The sequence below is a fragment of the Homo sapiens genome, chromosome 16 (genome assembly GCF_000001405.40).
Source record: "Homo sapiens chromosome 16, GRCh38.p14 Primary Assembly".
NCBI lineage: Eukaryota > Metazoa > Chordata > Mammalia > Primates > Hominidae > Homo > Homo sapiens.
Window position 1 is genome coordinate 569,514 of NC_000016.10, and position 15,865 is coordinate 585,378.

Below are 15,865 nucleotides of genomic sequence, written 5' to 3' on the forward strand. Positions count from 1 at the left end.
GTTCCTGGGATCGGGAGGGGCTGGACGCCTGTGTGTTCTCTCCTGACGATCGCTGGCGGCAGCCTCTGGGCTGGTCCTACCAGGGCTCAAAATTCCCGGCACCACTGGCCTTGGGGATCTGGGGGCGGCCCCTCTGCAGACAACAGAGTGACGGGGGCGGGACCGGGCTGGGGCTGGGGCCTTCCTGGAATCCCGCAGGGCCTGGGGACCTGTTCACTTGGGGAGGCTGGGAGCCAGGCGGGGTCCGGGTTCCACGAAGGCCAGGTCCAGTCAGTTTCTCAGGTGAGGAAACCGAGCTGACGCGGGGCTGGCGGCCCGGAGGCAGGCTCGGGAGGTCCGGGCCTGGGGACTGGGCGGGCACGCTGCGCCGCGGAACGCTCGGGTCGGGCGGGCGGGCGGGCAGCCCGGGCGCCTTTGGGGGCCGGACCGTCGCGCGGCAACGCGCGGAGCCGGCGGAAGTGGGGCTCGGGTCCCGCGGCGGGGCTGGAGGCAGCGAGCGCCGTCGTCTGCCCGGGCCCGCCCATCGGGGTCCCCAACCCCATCCGGACCCCGCCGCCCGAGCGCGCGGCCCCGGAAGCACCCGGTGAGCAGGGGGGGTGGGCGGCGCGCGGCGGGACCTCGGGCAGCGCCCCTGCGGCTCCGGGCCTGGGCTGGGGGCTCCGCACTCCCGCCCGCGGCGCCGCTGCTTTCTCCTCCCAGAAGTGGGGCCGCCCCCGGGCCCGCGCCGACCTGGGCCCCTGTGGACCCTGTGCAAGGGCGGTCGGCGGCCCGGGCCTGGCTGTGGGCCCTTCGCAGTTGTCCCGGTTTGCAGGAAAGGGCAAAAAACGGAATCGTAGGCTCTTCCCAAATGAGAGGGGAAGGCCCTGCTTGAGGAAGGCAAGCAAGTTTGTTTGTTTGTTTGTTTTGAGACGGGGTCTCACCATGTTGCCCAGGCTGAACTCGTGTTTGTTTTTCATTATTTATTTATTTTGAGAGGGAGTCTCGCTCTGTCGCCCAGGCTGGAGTGCAATGGCGCGATCTCGGGTCACTGCAACCGCTGCCTCCCGGGTTCCAGCGATTCTCCTGCCTCAGCCTCCCCAGTAGCTGGGATTACAGGTGCCCACCACCACGCCCGGCTAATTTCTGTATTTTTAGTAGAGACTTGGTTTCACCCCCATCGAGGCTGGTCTTAAGCTCCTGACCTCAAGTGATCCGCCCGCCTCGGCCTCCCAAAGTGCTGGGATTACAGGCGTGAGCCACCGCGCCAGGTTGGTGTTTATTTTTCAAACAAGGCGCTGGGAAACGCAAATTCTCCAGAGCTCTTGTGGAGCGGTGGCAGGGAGGGGCGGCTCAGCCAGAGATGGCCCTGGCCCGTCCTAACTGGGCTGGGGTGCCCCCATTCCCTCATTCACGGGGAGGAGAGGGAAGTCTTAGTCTTACTACTTTATATGGTCGACCTCCCTACCTGCCTGGTCTGGGAATGGCTTCTCAAGAGCACTCGGGCTCATTCTTAGCAGAGGAAGCTCTTCTGGCTAGCCTGGCGCCCGTGTGTGTGTGTGTGTGTGTGTGTGTGTGTGTGTGTGTGTGTGTGTGTGTGTGTGTGTGTGTGTGTGTGTCTGGCTAGCCTGGTGCCCGTGTGTGTGTGTGTGTGTCTGGCTAGCCTGGCACCCGTGGCTAGCCTGGCGCCCGTGTGTGTGTGTGTGTGTGTCTGGCTAGCCTGTGTGTGTCTGGTTAGCCTGTGTGTGTGTGTGTGTGTCTGGCTAGCCTGTGTGTGTGTGTGTGGCTAGCCTGGCGCCCGTGTGTGTGTGTGTGTCTGGCTAGCCTGGCAACCATGGCTAGCCTGGTGCCCGTGTGTGTGTGTGTGTCTGGCTAGCCTGGGACCCGTGGCTAGCCTGGTGCCCGTGTGTGTGTGTCTGGCTAGCCTGTGTGTGTCTGGTTAGCCTGTGTGTGTGTGTGTGTGTTTGTGTCTGGCTAGCCTGTGTGTGTCTGGTTAGCCTGTGTGTGTGTGTGTGTGTGTGTGTGTGTGTGTCTGGCTAGCCTGGCGCCTGTGTGTGTGTGTGTCTGGCTAGCCTGGTGCCCGTGTGTGTGTGTGTGTGTGTGTGTGGCTAGCCTGGCGCCCGTGTGTGTGTGTGTGTGTGTGTGTTTCCTCAGTCTTTAAAGATGCTCACGTTGCTTTCTCCCGTCCCATACCTCCTCTGCTATCGATCGCTTCTCTTTCATCTTCCTCTGGCTGTGTGATCCCAGCAGCTGCTAGTGCAGGCTTCTTTGTGCCGCCGACCGTCCCAGAGGCTGAGGTGGGAGTGTGATGGGCGTTTGCCCCACAGTACGTTGAGTTTTCTCTCACTACTCGACAGAGAAGAGTAGCTTCTGCCCTCCCATCTCCTTCGGTAGACACAAGGCACTTTTTTTTTTTAAGGTAAACTTTGTAGATGAAGCACAAAGAATACACACAAAGAAAGCGCACAGATCGTGAGCACGTAGCTCGGTGAATTTACCCAAAGTGAGCCCACCGCAGAACCAGCTCCCCCTAGAACATCTGTTTACTGTTAGACCCATTGTGTTTCTTTTCCGACGATATCTGTGGGCAGTTTTCCTTAGTCCCTGTGAAAGCTCTTCCCCAGCAGGGCGTGATGGGTCCCTGGGCTGAGCTGGTGTGAAAGGTGGGCTGTACTGGGTGGTCCCCTATGGTGGTCACACAGCCAGACACGCTGGGCCCCTTGCAGGCAGAATCACTTTGTCCCTCTCACGATGTCCTTGGTGCCTCACGTCAGCTGGCCTCCAGGCATCCACCCGCCGCCTGCCCTCTCTGACCACTGAGGAAATGGGCATTTGAGGAGTTCTGCAGCCTGACCCAGAAGGTCCCTTTTCAGCTAGAACCCACCGCCTTGAGTGACTGGATCCTCCAGCCCCAGTGCGGGCTGCCTGCAGGGGAGGAGAGCAGCTGCACCAGGGGCCTCTTAAGCCCCAGGCATTTCCGTGTGAGGCCTCTTCCAGAGCCCCTCCAAGCTTCGGGAGAGGACTTACAGGTCACACCACCCCGACGTGTGCATCCTGCTCTGTTCCCTCGTCCCTAAGGATGTGGTGGGCTCTGAGACCTCCAGGCATCCTGGTCTGTTCCCTCATCCCTAAGGGCGTGGTGGGCTCTGAGACCTCCAGGCATCCCACTCTGTTCCCTCGTCCCTAAGGGCGTGGTGGGCACTGGGACCTCCAGGCGTCCCGCTCTGTTCCCTCGTCCCTAAGGATGTGGTGGGCACTGGGACCTCCAGGCGTCCCGCTCTGTTCCCTCGTCCCTAAGGATGTGGTGGGCACTGCGACCTCCAGGCGTCCCGCTCTGTTCCCTCGTCCCTAAGGGCGTGGTGGGCGCTGGGACCTCCAGACCCAGGCTCAGGCCAAGCTATGTCCCTCCCTCGAGTGTGGCTCCAGCGTGGGGGGTCTCTGCTCAGGGTGGCCGCTCCACTCTTCGTGCAGGCGAGATGGGGCTTTCTGTGTCTGAGGAAGGCGAGCGGCCCAGCCAGCCGGCCAGTAGTGCCCCCACCGCTAGGGAGTCCTCCTGCCCTGTGGGGCCCCGCCAGGGAAGGCATCAGTGGAGAAGGAGCCCCAGCTGGCTGCATGGCTCCGCAGGGGCCTGTGAGAAAGGGGGAGGAGAGGCCCAGGGCCTGGGAACCGCGGTAGCTCAGGTGGCTTCCTACTCAACAGCCACCTTGGAAGGCTGGTGTCCCTCAGCCTGAGAGTGCAGGATGCAGTTTCTCCACACCTCCGGGACCTGTAAGCCTCTCTCTCCCCGTTTCTAGGCACCCATGTCGTTGGAGAAATATATCCTGGAGAGAAAATGCTCCCTGAGGGAGCCCTGCCCTGGGGTGGCTGTGGGGATGTCAGGGAGGGCCAGGCACTGCCGGGTGCCACCGTGGGCGGGGGTCAGAGTGGAGGCCGAAGCCCTGTGTGCCCTGAGCAACGAGGCAGGTCCTTCCTGCCCCCAGGGAGGGGCTTGTGGGAGGCAGGGACCTTCTGGGGGGCTGCCCGCCGTGCGCACGAGGTAGTTTCCACAGCCCAGCAGCACATCATTTTACATTTTCATCTTTATTCTTGCTTAATACGTGAATCATGGTTTGTCAAGGTTTCAATTGGCGTGACCTTGCTAATGAGATTGTACAGTTCTCCTCGTGCTACACCTTTAAGCACACCTCTCTAATCAGGTTTCTTAAAACTAAGAAGCCTGGAGTTCGGTTCGGCCCCACAGCCGCGTCAGGTGGTGCCGAGGAGGCCGTGCCCTGGGCCGGCCTGGAAATGGGAGGGCAGGCCTGGTGGCTGCATGTGCGTCCTGCCTCGTGCGGGTGGGGCTGAGCTGGGCCTGGGGTGGACTTGGGGCCAGCACTCTGGCTGCCCCTTGGAGAAGCATGGCCCACGCGAGGCGGCAGCCAAGGAGCCCTACGGCGTCCACCACCGAACTTGAAGCTGAGGTGCCCCGACCTGGGGCCCTGTGGCTGCACCTGTCAGGCCGTCTGTGCAACATCCCGCAGCCCACGGTGGGGGGGCAGCAGCAGCTCTGAGCCGAGCCTCTCCTCTTCTCTTCCAGCCTCCCGGCATGGTGCTCAAGGCCTTCTTCCCCACGTGCTGCGTCTCGACGGACAGCGGGCTGCTGGTGGGACGGTGGGTGCCGGAGCAGAGCAGCGCCGTGGTCCTGGCGGTCCTGCACTTTCCCTTCATCCCCATCCAGGTCAAGCAGCTCCTGGCCCAGGTGCGGCAGGCCAGCCAGGTGGGCGTGGCCGTGCTGGGCACCTGGTGCCACTGCCGGCAGGAGCCCGAGGAGAGCCTGGGCCGCTTCCTGGAGAGCCTGGGTGCTGTCTTCCCCCATGAGCCCTGGCTGCGGCTGTGCCGGGAGAGAGGCGGCACGTTCTGGAGCTGCGAGGCCACCCACCGGCAAGCGCCCACTGCCCCCGGTGCCCCTGGTGAGGACCAGGTCATGCTCATCTTCTATGACCAGCGCCAGGTGTTGCTGTCACAGCTACACCTGCCCACCGTCCTGCCCGACCGCCAGGCTGGAGCCACCACTGCCAGCACGGGGGGCCTGGCTGCCGTCTTCGACACGGTAGCACGCAGTGAGGTGCTCTTCCGCAGTGACCGCTTTGATGAGGGCCCCGTGCGGCTGAGCCACTGGCAGTCGGAGGGCGTGGAGGCCAGCATCCTCGCGGAGCTGGCCAGGCGAGCCTCGGGACCCATTTGCCTGCTGTTGGCCAGCCTGCTGTCGCTGGTCTCAGCTGTCAGTGCCTGCCGGTAGGTGTCCCGGGACAGGCAGGTGGCAAAGAGTGGGGTCCCATGAGTGCTGGCCCATCCCTTTGTCTGCAGTGGGCACAGAGGCCCAGATGCGCTCTTCCTGGGCCCGGGCCCCCTCCCACTCCTGCAGCCCGGGCTTTGGCCCCATCCTGCTCTCCCAACCCTCGCCTCTCAGAGGGTGTCCCTCACCCCTGGGGTAGAGCCAGGTCTCTGGGCAGCCTCAGGGATTGCCAGGGGCCCTCCCAGAAGGTGTAGAGGGTGAACCTCAGTGGCTTAGGTCCCTGAAAGAGAAATCAGAAGGTGAGCACAGACATGACTACTGCTGCCTGGGGGTGCTCCTGAGGGCACACAGGCCCGCTGGCCTCCCTGTAGCCCTGCCTGTGCCCCCAGCAGGCCTCTGGACACTGCAGCGCTCATGGGCTGTGGGGGTGTCATCCACTTGCTGGCCCCGTGTGCCTGGGGGAGTGGTCTACAGGCCCTGCTTCTCTCCACAATCACAGGTGCTGCTGGCCAAGGGTCAGTTGAAGCCCAAGGGCCCTGAGGGGCACGGGGGTAGCCCCGAGCTGTGGCTGAGAACAGAGGGCCCCCTTCCACAGGGGACCTCATCTGCCTGGCGGAGGTGCCCCATGGGGAGCAGCTAGGGGTCACCTGCAGTTGCCCCCTGCCTTAGACCCGGGGGTGCATACTCTGGAAGCCTGGGGTGAGAAGCTAGGCCAGCCCAGGAGACCCCGGGCAGCTTTCTGGGCCCTGTCGGCGGGGCGAGGCCCTGGGCCCGTGGGAGTTGCTGCTGGCTGGCAGGCGCTTCTTGGCACCGGCTCTGGGAGCATGTGGTGACCAGGTGGCCCGGGGTCAGCACCTGCGAGGAGGCCAGGCTCCGTGTTAGTCACGTGCACTGTGAGGTGGGCGCGTTGAGCGCTGCCTACCACCACCTGGGCCACCGAGGGCCCCTCCCACCTGCCCCCTGTCCTGCTGAGCTCAGGAGTGTGGCCTGGGTGTTTGTGGTCCCCTGCACAGTGGGGGACGGTGGGAGGAGGATCTGGAGAGGGACACATCACTCCTCTCCACTCCCACGCAGAGTGTTCAAGCTCTGGCCCCTGTCCTTCCTCGGGAGCAAACTCTCCACGTGCGAACAGCTCCGGCACCGGCTGGAGCACCTCACGCTAATCTTCAGTACACGGAAGGCGGAGAACCCTGCCCAGCTGATGAGGTGTGGGCCTGCCCTGGTCTCTGCAGGGCTGGGTGCGTGCCCTCTGGCCCCTTCTCCATCCCCCTCTGCACCACGCTGACCCCTCCGGCCAGGCAGGCCTCCTCCTGCGGCCCCAGGCTGTGCTGGCCACCCTCATGCCGGCCGGGCCGGACCTCCCTTCCAGGAAGGCCAACACGGTGGCCTCTGTGCTGCTGGACGTGGCCCTGGGCCTCATGCTGCTGTCCTGGCTCCACGGGAGAAGCCGCATCGGGCATCTGGCCGACGCCCTCGTTCCTGTGGCTGACGTGAGTGGACTGGGGTGGAGCCCGGTGTCCCGGGTGGGCGTGGGGACCCCTCCTGGGCAGCAGAGCCTTCCCGGGCCAGAGCCACCGCCCCACAAAGCCAGTTCTACCTTCTCCATGCTCTGGAGACACGGCCCTCCCCTGAACCAGAAGCAGGAACTCCAGGGGCGCTGGGGCCTGGGCAGGGCAGGCCTCGCAGGTACACCCCCCTTTCCTTCTGAAGGGGCTGTGTGCAGGAGCCAGCCGGGCTGAGGCTCTGGGGAGCCCGCCTCTCCCTGTGGGCCCAGCGTCCTGGTATCTCCCTTGTGGTCCCTGAGATCAGCGTTGCCCTCCTGGCTCTCTGGGGCCCTCTGCAGAGCCAGGGTCATGAAACCTTTCCTGTCCAGGGAGGCCCATGTGCAGCCCAGCTGGGACTTCCTGCCCTGCCCCTGTGCTGATTCTGTAACTCCTGTGCTGAGAGCCAGAGGCACAGCTTGTCTCCCATCTCCCACCTTCCCTGCATGGTCTGTGCCCCGTTTCCAGCCGGGTGCAGCCCCCTCCTCTGCAGATCTAGTGCATTTCCATGCTGCCTCTGGGCCTTCAGCTTCTCTGTCTTCCTCCCTCAGCACCAAAGCCCCGTCTCTTCCATTAGGAGCTTGTCTTCCTGCTGGGGGTGGTACCTGACTCTTTGGCCCACCCTCGGGCCTCTGTGGAGGCCTCCTTGAGGCCTGACTGGGTGGGTCTTGTGTGGGCTGCAGGTGTGCACTGGGCCTGCTTGTGGCCAGGCCAGGCCTCTGGGGGCAGCATCAGGCACGTCTGTGTGGCTGTGGGGGTGCAGGGAGCTCCAGCCCAGAAGGAAGGAGGGGCGGGGCTGGGGAAGGGGCTCGGCAGCTTTGCCTGTGGTCGTCCGCACCTGCCACCGGCCTACTTTGTCCTAGACCTCCCTTTTGCAAAAGTGCTCAGAAATATAAATATTTAATTTAAAAATGAAAGTCTCTTCCTGCTGCCAAGCTCTTATCCTTTAAATATTAAATAAGCTCTATTTATAAAGAATGTTCTTTTCTCAGCCGGGGGTGGTGGCTCATGCCTGTAATCCCAGCACTTTGGGAGGCCAAGGCGGGCGGATCATGAGGTCAGGAGATCGAGACCATCCTGGCTAACACAGTGAAATCCCGTCTCTACTAAAAATACAAAAAATTAGCCAGGTATGGTGGTGGGCACCTGTAGTCCCAGCTAATTGGGAGGCTGAGGCAAGAGAATGGCGTGAACCCGGGAGGCAGAGCTTGCAGTGAGCCGAGATCTCACCACTGCACTCCAGCCTGGGCGACAAAACAAGACTCCGTCTCAGAAAAAAAAAAAAAAAAAAGTGTTCTTTTCTCCTTCTTGCCAGTCCTGCTGTGGCTGAGGCCTTGGCCCAGGCTTGGAAGGGGCCTGCGCAATGGGCAAGTGGGGGCCAAGGTGTCACTCACTGTCTCCTTAGTGGGGAGGCTGAGGCTCCCTTGGGGTCTGCCCGCTGGGGCACAGCCTCTGGATGCTGAGTTTCTTCCTGGGCGGCCAAGACCCTGCTTCCCTGTTTGCTCTTGGGGGTGCCTGTGCCCTCAACTTGACGCCATCCTCCCTCTGGGGACCTGTCCTCCTGCCTGGTCGCTGTGGCCCTGATGGGCTTGGCACTGTCTCGCTCACCTGTGGTCATCCCGGGCAGCCCCCAGCCTCTGCGATGGGGTGGGGCCTCTGGAGGGGACTGTGTCAGCTGTGGGCTTCCCTGCAGGGCTGGAGCCGAATCAGGGTCTGCCAGGCCTCAGTGCGTCCACGTGTTTGGGGCCGAGGGCTCCAGTGGGTCCTGTGGCCGAGGTAGTGAGAGGGGAGGAAGATGGTAGAGGTGGGTGCAGGCAGGGGGCCACGCGGATGCCCTGTGGGCCCGGCCATGTCACCCAGGCCTGCAGAGAGAGGCCTCCAGACCAGCCTCCTCAGACCCCAATCCCGGAGCCATCTGTGAAGGGGAGCCCGTGTGCTGTCCACGCTAGGACGCGGTAGACCCTGGAGGAGGGAAGGCTGGCCAAGGTGGGAGCCCATCACGAAAGAGCCTGGGGAGATGCAGGTGCTGAGCCTGGCTGCCCCCGCCCCAGCGTGGCCCCTGTGTCCCTGCAGCACGTGGCCGAGGAGCTCCAGCATCTGCTGCAGTGGCTGATGGGTGCTCCCGCCGGGCTCAAGATGAACCGTGCACTGGACCAGGTGCTGGGCCGCTTCTTCCTCTACCACATCCACCTGTGGATCAGTGAGTGCAGGGCAGGCGGGGGCCCCAGGGACCCCAGAGCTTGCTGAAGAGGGTAGGGACCCAGCCAGACCCCGCCCCCTGTGCCCCCAACTCTGCTCCCCAGCGTCCTGTGTGTGTGAGGCCTGCTGTGCTCAGCTGAGGGCTGGGGCCTGGGCACCTCCCGAGGGCTGACCCCACCCTGCCAGGCTACACGCACCTCATGTCCTGTGTGTGTGAGGGTTGTGCTGGGCCGAGGGCTGGGGTCTGAGCGCCTCCTGAGGGCCTACCCCACCCTGCCAGGCTACATCCACCTCATGTCCCCCTTCGTGGAGCACATCCTTTGGCACGTGGGCCTCTCGGCCTGCCTGGGCCTGACGGTGGCCCTGTCCCTCCTCTCGGACATTATCGCCCTCCTCACCTTCCACATCTACTGCTTTTACGTCTATGGAGCCAGGTGGGCGTGGGCTTCCCCCTCCCCACCGCCCCCTGGGAGGTGCAGAGGCTCCGGCTGGGCGGGCGTTCGAGTGGGGCGGGGGCGGGGCGGGGCGGGGCGGGGCCGGGCCCGACAGCACTGCGTCCTGTAGGCTGTACTGCCTGAAGATCCATGGCCTGTCCTCACTGTGGCGTCTGTTCCGGGGGAAGAAGTGGAACGTTCTGCGCCAGCGCGTGGACTCCTGTTCCTATGACCTGGACCAGGTATGGGGCAGGGTTCGTGGCTGGAGGGGCTGACTGCCTCCGGCCTGTGCCCGCTGGGCCAGCGCGGTGCTTGGGCACCACAAGGGGGCAGCCTGCTCCCGTCCTGCAGCTGAGGCCGCGCACAGGCCCTGGGAATAGATAAGTCTGCGGTGTGGGCTGCACGTGGGGCTCTGAAGCAGCGCAGAGCTTCCCTGGGCCACAGAGAAGAGACAGACACACAGCCCCGAAGGTGGTGCAGGCACAGGCCCTAGAGGTGCCCCGGGCCCAGAGACTAGAGATGCCCCGGGCCCGGAGACTAGAGGTGCCCCGGGCCCGGAGACTAGAGGTGCCCCGGGCCCGGAGACTAGAGGTGCCCCGGGCCCGGAGACTAGAGGTGCCCCGGGCCCGGAGACTTGAGGTGCCCCGGGCCCGGAGACTAGAGGTGCCCCGGGCCCGGAGACTAGAGGTGCCCCGGGCCCGGAGACTAGAGGTGCCCCGGGCCCGGAGACTAGAGGTGCCCCGGGCCCGGAGACTTGAGGTGCCCCGGGCCCGGAGACTAGAGGTGCCCCGGGCCCGGAGACTTGAGGTGCCCCGGGCCCGGAGACTAGAGGTGCCCCGGGCCCGGAGACTAGAGGTGCCCCGGGCCCGGAGACTTGAGGTGCCCCGGGCCCGGAGACTAGAGGTGCCCGGGCTCGGAGACTAGAGTTGCCCGGGCCCGTCTGCTGCTCACACTTGCCGCAGCCGCTGGATGCTGCCATGCAGAGCATGTTCTTGGTGACTGTGTGGCCACGCACCGTCTTGGGTGGTCTGGCCCCCACCTGTCTCCCTGCGAGTCCCCTAGTCCGTGGGGTGTGGGTGGACAGCCCTCCTGCTACTGGGACTGCTTCTGAGCAGGCCATCCCGAGTTCCCTCAGGAAGCCGCAAGGTCCCGACTGCAGCTCCGGGATGGGGGAGGGCACAGTGCTGGGCCGTCCCTGGGCGCGGGGTCCTGCTGATGCCCGGTGTGCTGGCCCCTCCCTACAGCTGTTCATCGGGACTCTGCTCTTCACCATCCTGCTCTTCCTCCTGCCTACCACAGCCCTGTACTACCTGGTGTTCACCCTGGTGAGCTGAGCACCCACAGGCTGGGCCTGGCTGCAGTGCTCTGTGTGGCTTCTGCCAGCGCTGCCTGGGAGCAGTCAGCTGTGGGGCGGGCTGTCTCCTGCTGCAGGCCACGTGGGTGGCCTTTCAGGACCCTCTGGGCAGTGAGTGCTGCGCTCTGGAGTGGGCGAGGCCCTATCCTGGCCAGTAAGACACCCTCACTGCCCTGGAGCACGCAGCTGGGTGCGTGGTGGAAGGACCCCACGGCAGGTGGGGTCACGCAAGAGGCCTCCCCTGGTGCCTGGCACTGGGGCAGACAGTGGGAGGTGAGCAGAACCACCTCCAGCACCTGCTTGATTCCCAGGCCTCGATCCCCTCTGCATGTGAGGCTGTGGGGAGGCACCTCTGACCTGGTGAGAGGGCCGGGTGCTCCGCCTCCAGCTTTGCTCCAGAGCAAGGCCCAATGGCAGACTCCGTGCCCTGCTCAGGGTGGGGTCCCTGCTCTCCCCAGGACCCTGCAGCCTCTGGGCCCCCTTCATCGTGGCCCAGGATGGGGTCGGACTGCTCTGCCCCCAGGCGCGTCTGGCCGGGCCGGTCCTAAATGCTCCTCTGCCACAGCTCCGGCTCCTGGTGGTCGCCGTGCAGGGCCTGATCCATCTGCTCGTGGACCTCATCAACTCCCTGCCGCTGTACTCACTGGGTCTTCGGCTCTGCCGGCCCTACAGGCTGGCGGGTAAGTGCTGCGTATTGGGCAGCTGGCCCTGGGTAGGTGGAGGGGAACCACACCTGTGGGCCCTGCAGAAGCAAGGACAGCATGGGCCACTGTGCCTCCAGCCTGGAAGCCGTGGTATGCATGCGCAAGCGGGCAGGGAGGACAGGGCCTCCTAGTCCCAGAGGTCTGCAGGACCAGCTGCCTCCAGGGAGGTGGAGAGAGACTCAGAGACTCACCTGCCGCGCAGGTTCAGAACCCTGGAGACCTGAGGCCACAGGCCTTTGTTCTTCTGCCTTGGGATTTTCTGGGCTTGGGAGTCTGAACTGCAGGCCAGGGGCCAAGCGCGGCAAAGTCAGAGGCACTAGGAGCCAGCAGGGCGGCCACCATCCAGTAAGTGCCCCGTCCGCTGTGCCGGAAAACCCCGTCCACTCAACAGCACAGCCTGCGCCCGTCCCTCACTGGGGCTCTTCCCTGCTTGCCGGACACCTGGCTTCTTTCAGTGGAGTCTGCAGGAGGCTTTTTTTTTTTTGAGACGGAGTCTCACTTTGTCGCCCAGGCTGGAGTGCAATGGCGCAATCTCGGCTCACTGTAATCTCTGCCTCCTGGGTTCAAGCGATTCTCCTGCCTCAGCCTCCCGAGTAGCTAGGATTACAGGTGTGTGCCACCACGCCCAGCTAATTTTTTGTATTTTAGTAGAGATGGGGGTTTCACCATTTTGGCCACGCTGGTCTCGAACTCCTGACCTCGTGATCCTCCCACCTCAGCCTCCCAAAGTGCTGGGATTACAGGCACGAGCCACCGTGCCCGGCTTTTTTTTTTTTTTTTTTTTGAGATGGAGTCTTGCTCTTTTTGCCCAGGCTGGAGTGCAATGGTGTGATCTCAGCTCACTGCAACCTTCGCCTCCCTGGTTGAAGCGATTCTCCTGCCTCAGCCTCCCAAGTAGCTGAGATTACAGGCACACGCCATCACACCCGGCTAATTTTTGTATTTTTAGTACGTATGGGGTTTCACCATGTTGGCCAGGCTGGTCTTGAACTCCTGACCTCATGATCCGCCCACCTCCCAAAATGCTGGGATTACAGGCGTGAGCCACCGTGCCTGGCTGCAGGAGGCTTTGATGCCGGCCTGGCAGCCAGCTCCAGGAGTTGGGCGACGGAGGGGGCGGGGAGAGCTTCGTGGGTGGCCACGGCCAGCAGCACCCGGGTGCCCCTCAGAGAGGAAGGTACCTGCAGCCTCTGCTCATGTGTGGGGCCAGCCCCCACGCGTCCCCTCGTCAGCCGCTTGCTATCCTTGCAGCTGGCGTGAAGTTCCGTGTCCTCCGGCACGAGGCCGGCAGGCCCCTCCGCCTCCTGATGCAGGTGAGGCCCCTTGTGGCCAGGACGCCCCTACGCTGCTGCCCCTGTTCTGGGACGGTGGGGTCAGCTGGGTGTAGTGTCTGGGTGGCACCACGCCAGCCTGCGATGAGGTACAGGGAGGGCCCAGTGGAGCTGAGGGGGAAGGCCCACGCGGGACCCCCTCCCCCTTACCCCCAGGGCCTGAGGACACTGGTGTGGTCCTGTGGATGGGGCCCATTCTGCCCTGTGTCGGAGGCGCCCTTGGCTGGCTGGGGCTGCCCTGGGCCCCACAGGGCTCAAGTTCTGGGTGGAACAGAACCGACTGAGTGAGTCCTGGGGTGGGGTGTGCGTCCCTGTGGCACGGCCCCTCAGAGTTGGGCAGCCCCGAGGGGAGATGCAGCTTCTGCCTCCCCCCAGCGCTCCCTTCTGGCTGCAGGCTCACTTGCCTCCTTGGGAACTGGGACTGGCTTCTCCCACAGGCAAGGGAATGTCTGAGACAGCACTGGCCCTGCCTCACAACTGCCCGCCCCCACCCTCTCTCTGCAGACGGGGTTGGAGCTCAGACCACCCCACTGACCGCTGCCCTTGTCCTTCCAGATAAACCCACTGCCCTACAGCCGCGTGGTGCACACCTACCGCCTCCCCAGCTGTGGCTGCCACCCCAAGCACTCCTGGGGCGCCCTGTGCCGCAAGCTGTTCCTTGGGGAGCTCATCTACCCCTGGAGGCAGAGAGGGGACAAGCAGGACTGAGGGAACTGCTGGCTCGCCTGGCACCACCACACGGCCACAGCCAGCCATCTGCTCTGCCAGGGTGGCACCAGCTCAGCTGGCGCATGTCCTGTGCTTTGTGGACGCTGCTGTGTGCTCCTGAACACGGCAGGCCCTGCTATCACACCTTGGGCTTGGAGGTCATTGGGAGTGAGCAGATGTGGGGGTGGCCAGCCAGGCTGGCCGCACTCCATCACTGGCACTGCCTGCCTTGGGACCCGCTTCCCACCTGCTGCGGTCACCATGGTGGCGAGCACAGCAACCCCAGGTGTCCAGAGCACTGCCCCATGCCCACCCTGTGTACCCAGGTCCAGAGGGTCCGTCCACCACAGCAGCCCCAGGTGGAGGGCTGGTCTCCCTGGGGGCTCCCCAGTGGCTCTGCCCTGGCTGTGGGGGTGGAGGGACCTTGCCAGGATGAACCCCCCAGTCCCAGGCACCCTCTAGCTCCCTCAGCCGAACAGCACCCTGCATCTGGGGGATTGAAGCAGTCGCTGACCCCCGTCCCCAGCGGGCCCGGGCCCTCACTCCCTGAACCACACGGGGTTTATTTGCGGATGTTCCCTGGAGAGGTCGCTTTGTGAAGAAACCATCAGCAGGCTGTGAGCATCGCCAGGCTGCTGTGGGGGCGGGAGCAGCCTCAGTGTCAAGGGCCCGCCCACTGACCCAGCCGTACCTATTCGTCCACGGTGCCCCGTAGCAGCAGGTCCTGCGGCCAAATCTGTCTCCCTTCATGGGCCTCCCAGGGAAGGAGGAAGCCCTGCTGTGCAGACACCTCTGTGGCCCCCCAGGAGTGTGAGTGGCCTGGGGAGGGGGCCGTGGCACTGAGGCCGAAAGTGCCTGCCAGACGGCACGGTCTGGGTGCGGGTGTTCCCTGTGAGCCCGAGTCCGCTTCAGGAGGGGAGCCTGCAGGTGCCGGCTGGTGAGGGGATGACGCGCTGTGGGTGGGAGGAGGCAGCGCCCATCTCAGCAGCACCAGGACTGCCTGGGACTCCCTGGCAACCCAGCACCGGGGAAGCCGTCAGCTGCTGTGACAATAAAACCTGCCCCGTGTCTGGAGCGCAGGCTCGGTCCCGGGTCCATGTGCAGCGCGGGTCCAGGGAAGCTCTGGGGGGGGGGTGTGTGGACGCTACTCGAGGGACTTGGGCTGCCTCACGTGGGTCTGCCCTGCAGAGTCTACACCGGCCTCCTGCTGGAGGCCCTGACGACGGCTGATGGGACGGGCTCACAGGCCCTGGGCCCTTGAGGACTTTGGTGTAGGCAGGTGAACCCGGGCCGCCCACCCTGGGGGCCGCCCACCCTGGGGTCGTGGCCTTGCCTCGACATAGATGGTGCAGGGGTGTAGGCCTCCAGGGGTGGGGCGAGCAGCTCCTGCTCTGAATCTGTGGACTCCATGTGGGGTGGGCCCCTCGTGGGTCCTGGCCCAGTACAGCCTGCGACTGCCACAGCTGCTAAGAATGGTCTCTGTCGCCTGCAGTGCTGGGGGCCCAGCTGGCGGGCCCCACAGCCCGTTCCCAGCCCGAAGTGTACAGGCCTCCATCCAACCTGGACTTCCAGGCAACCAGAGGCACTCAGGGCCCACCAACCCCCTACCTGTGTCCCCTGCCTCCCCCCAGCTGCCCACCTGGCCCACCACCCCTCCCATCTGTACTCTCCCCCACTCACCCTCCAGTTGCCTACCTGGCCTACCCTGCTCCTACCAGCTGCCCACCTGGCCTGCCACCCCTCCCACCTGTGTCCCCTGTCCCCCAAAGCTGCCCACCTCGCCCCCCACCCTTTCCACCTGTACCCCCAACTCCCCCTCCAGCTGCCCACCAAGTCCACCAACACCCCCAACCTGTACCTCCCGCTCCCCCCAGCTGCCCACCGGGTCCACCAACACCCCCAACCTGTACCTCCCGCTCCCCCCAGCTGCCCACCGGGTCCACCAACACCCCCAACCTGTGCCTCCCGCTCCCCCCAGCTGCCCACCGGGTCCACCAACACCCCCAACCTGTGCCTCCCGCTCCCCCCAGCTGCCCACCGGGTCCACCAACACCCCCAACCTGTGCCTCCCGCTCCCCCCAGCTGCCCACCGGGTCCACCAACACCCCCAACCTGTGCCTCCCGCTCCCCCCAGCTGCCCACCGGGTCCACCAACACCCCCAACCTGTGCCTCCCGCTCCCCCCAGCTGCCCACCGGGTCCACCAACACCCCCAACCTGTGCCTCCCGCTCCCCCCAGCTGCCCACCGGGTCCACCAACACCCCCAACCTGTGCCTCCCGCTCCCCCCAGCTGCCCACCGGGTCCACCAACACCCCCAACCTGTACCTCCCACTCCCCCCAGC

At 64.8% G+C, this 15,865-nt stretch overlaps 1 protein-coding gene across 2 annotated transcripts, besides 6 other annotated features; it reads left to right on the forward strand.

The window, feature by feature from the left end:
- Positions 322–481: a silencer, noted in NCBI's record as "silent region_6919". NCBI's record gives its function as "represses an Ori minimal core promoter by ATAC-STARR-seq in GM12878 lymphoblastoid cells {active_cell/tissue: GM12878}" and the evidence as "EXISTENCE:reporter gene assay evidence [ECO:0000049][PMID:35858748]".
- On the forward strand, positions 455–14,596 carry PIGQ (phosphatidylinositol glycan anchor biosynthesis class Q). 2 transcript variants are annotated; one of them, NM_004204.5, is made up of 11 exons: positions 455–583; positions 4,553–5,250; positions 6,326–6,457; positions 6,621–6,741; positions 8,866–8,992; positions 9,272–9,425; positions 9,556–9,667; positions 10,670–10,750; positions 11,345–11,459; positions 12,735–12,796; positions 13,370–14,596. In NM_004204.5, the coding sequence occupies exons 2-11, from the start codon at positions 4,562–4,564 to the stop codon at positions 13,520–13,522; spliced, it is 1,746 nt and encodes a 581-aa protein (NP_004195.2). In that variant the 5' UTR covers positions 455–583; positions 4,553–4,561; the 3' UTR covers positions 13,523–14,596. The 2 variants fall into 2 exon arrangements, with proteins under 2 accessions (NP_004195.2, NP_683721.1); NM_148920.4 differs by lacking the exon at positions 12,735–12,796.
- Positions 552–771: a silencer, noted in NCBI's record as "silent region_6920". NCBI's record gives its function as "represses an Ori minimal core promoter by ATAC-STARR-seq in GM12878 lymphoblastoid cells {active_cell/tissue: GM12878}" and the evidence as "EXISTENCE:reporter gene assay evidence [ECO:0000049][PMID:35858748]".
- Positions 1,402–2,296: an enhancer, noted in NCBI's record as "H3K27ac-H3K4me1 hESC enhancer chr16:620915-621809 (GRCh37/hg19 assembly coordinates)". NCBI's record gives its function as "activates a minimal SCP1, AML or CMV promoter by ChIP-STARR-seq in naive H9 embryonic stem cells {active_cell/tissue: H9 hESC(naive)}" and the evidence as "EXISTENCE:reporter gene assay evidence [ECO:0000049][PMID:30033119]".
- Positions 9,815–9,864: a silencer, noted in NCBI's record as "silent region_6921". NCBI's record gives its function as "represses an Ori minimal core promoter by ATAC-STARR-seq in GM12878 lymphoblastoid cells {active_cell/tissue: GM12878}" and the evidence as "EXISTENCE:reporter gene assay evidence [ECO:0000049][PMID:35858748]".
- Positions 13,644–14,400: an enhancer, noted in NCBI's record as "H3K27ac-H3K4me1 hESC enhancer chr16:633157-633913 (GRCh37/hg19 assembly coordinates)". NCBI's record gives its function as "activates a minimal SCP1, AML or CMV promoter by ChIP-STARR-seq in primed H9 embryonic stem cells {active_cell/tissue: H9 hESC(primed)}" and the evidence as "EXISTENCE:reporter gene assay evidence [ECO:0000049][PMID:30033119]".
- Positions 14,401–15,156: an enhancer, noted in NCBI's record as "H3K27ac-H3K4me1 hESC enhancer chr16:633914-634669 (GRCh37/hg19 assembly coordinates)". NCBI's record gives its function as "activates a minimal SCP1, AML or CMV promoter by ChIP-STARR-seq in naive H9 embryonic stem cells {active_cell/tissue: H9 hESC(naive)}" and the evidence as "EXISTENCE:reporter gene assay evidence [ECO:0000049][PMID:30033119]".

Bases quoted from the DNA above. Each gene is read 5' to 3' on its own strand.
- PIGQ (NM_148920.4), top strand. From the start codon at position 4,562: ATGGTGCTCAAGGCCTTCTTCCCCACGTGCTGCGTCTCGACGGACAGC. The intron at 5,251-6,325 runs GTAGGTGTCCCG...ACTCCCACGCAG, and splicing joins TCAGCTGTCAGTGCCTGCCG to AGTGTTCAAGCTCTGGCCCC. The intron at 6,742-8,865 runs GTGAGTGGACTG...GTGTCCCTGCAG, and splicing joins CCCTCGTTCCTGTGGCTGAC to CACGTGGCCGAGGAGCTCCA.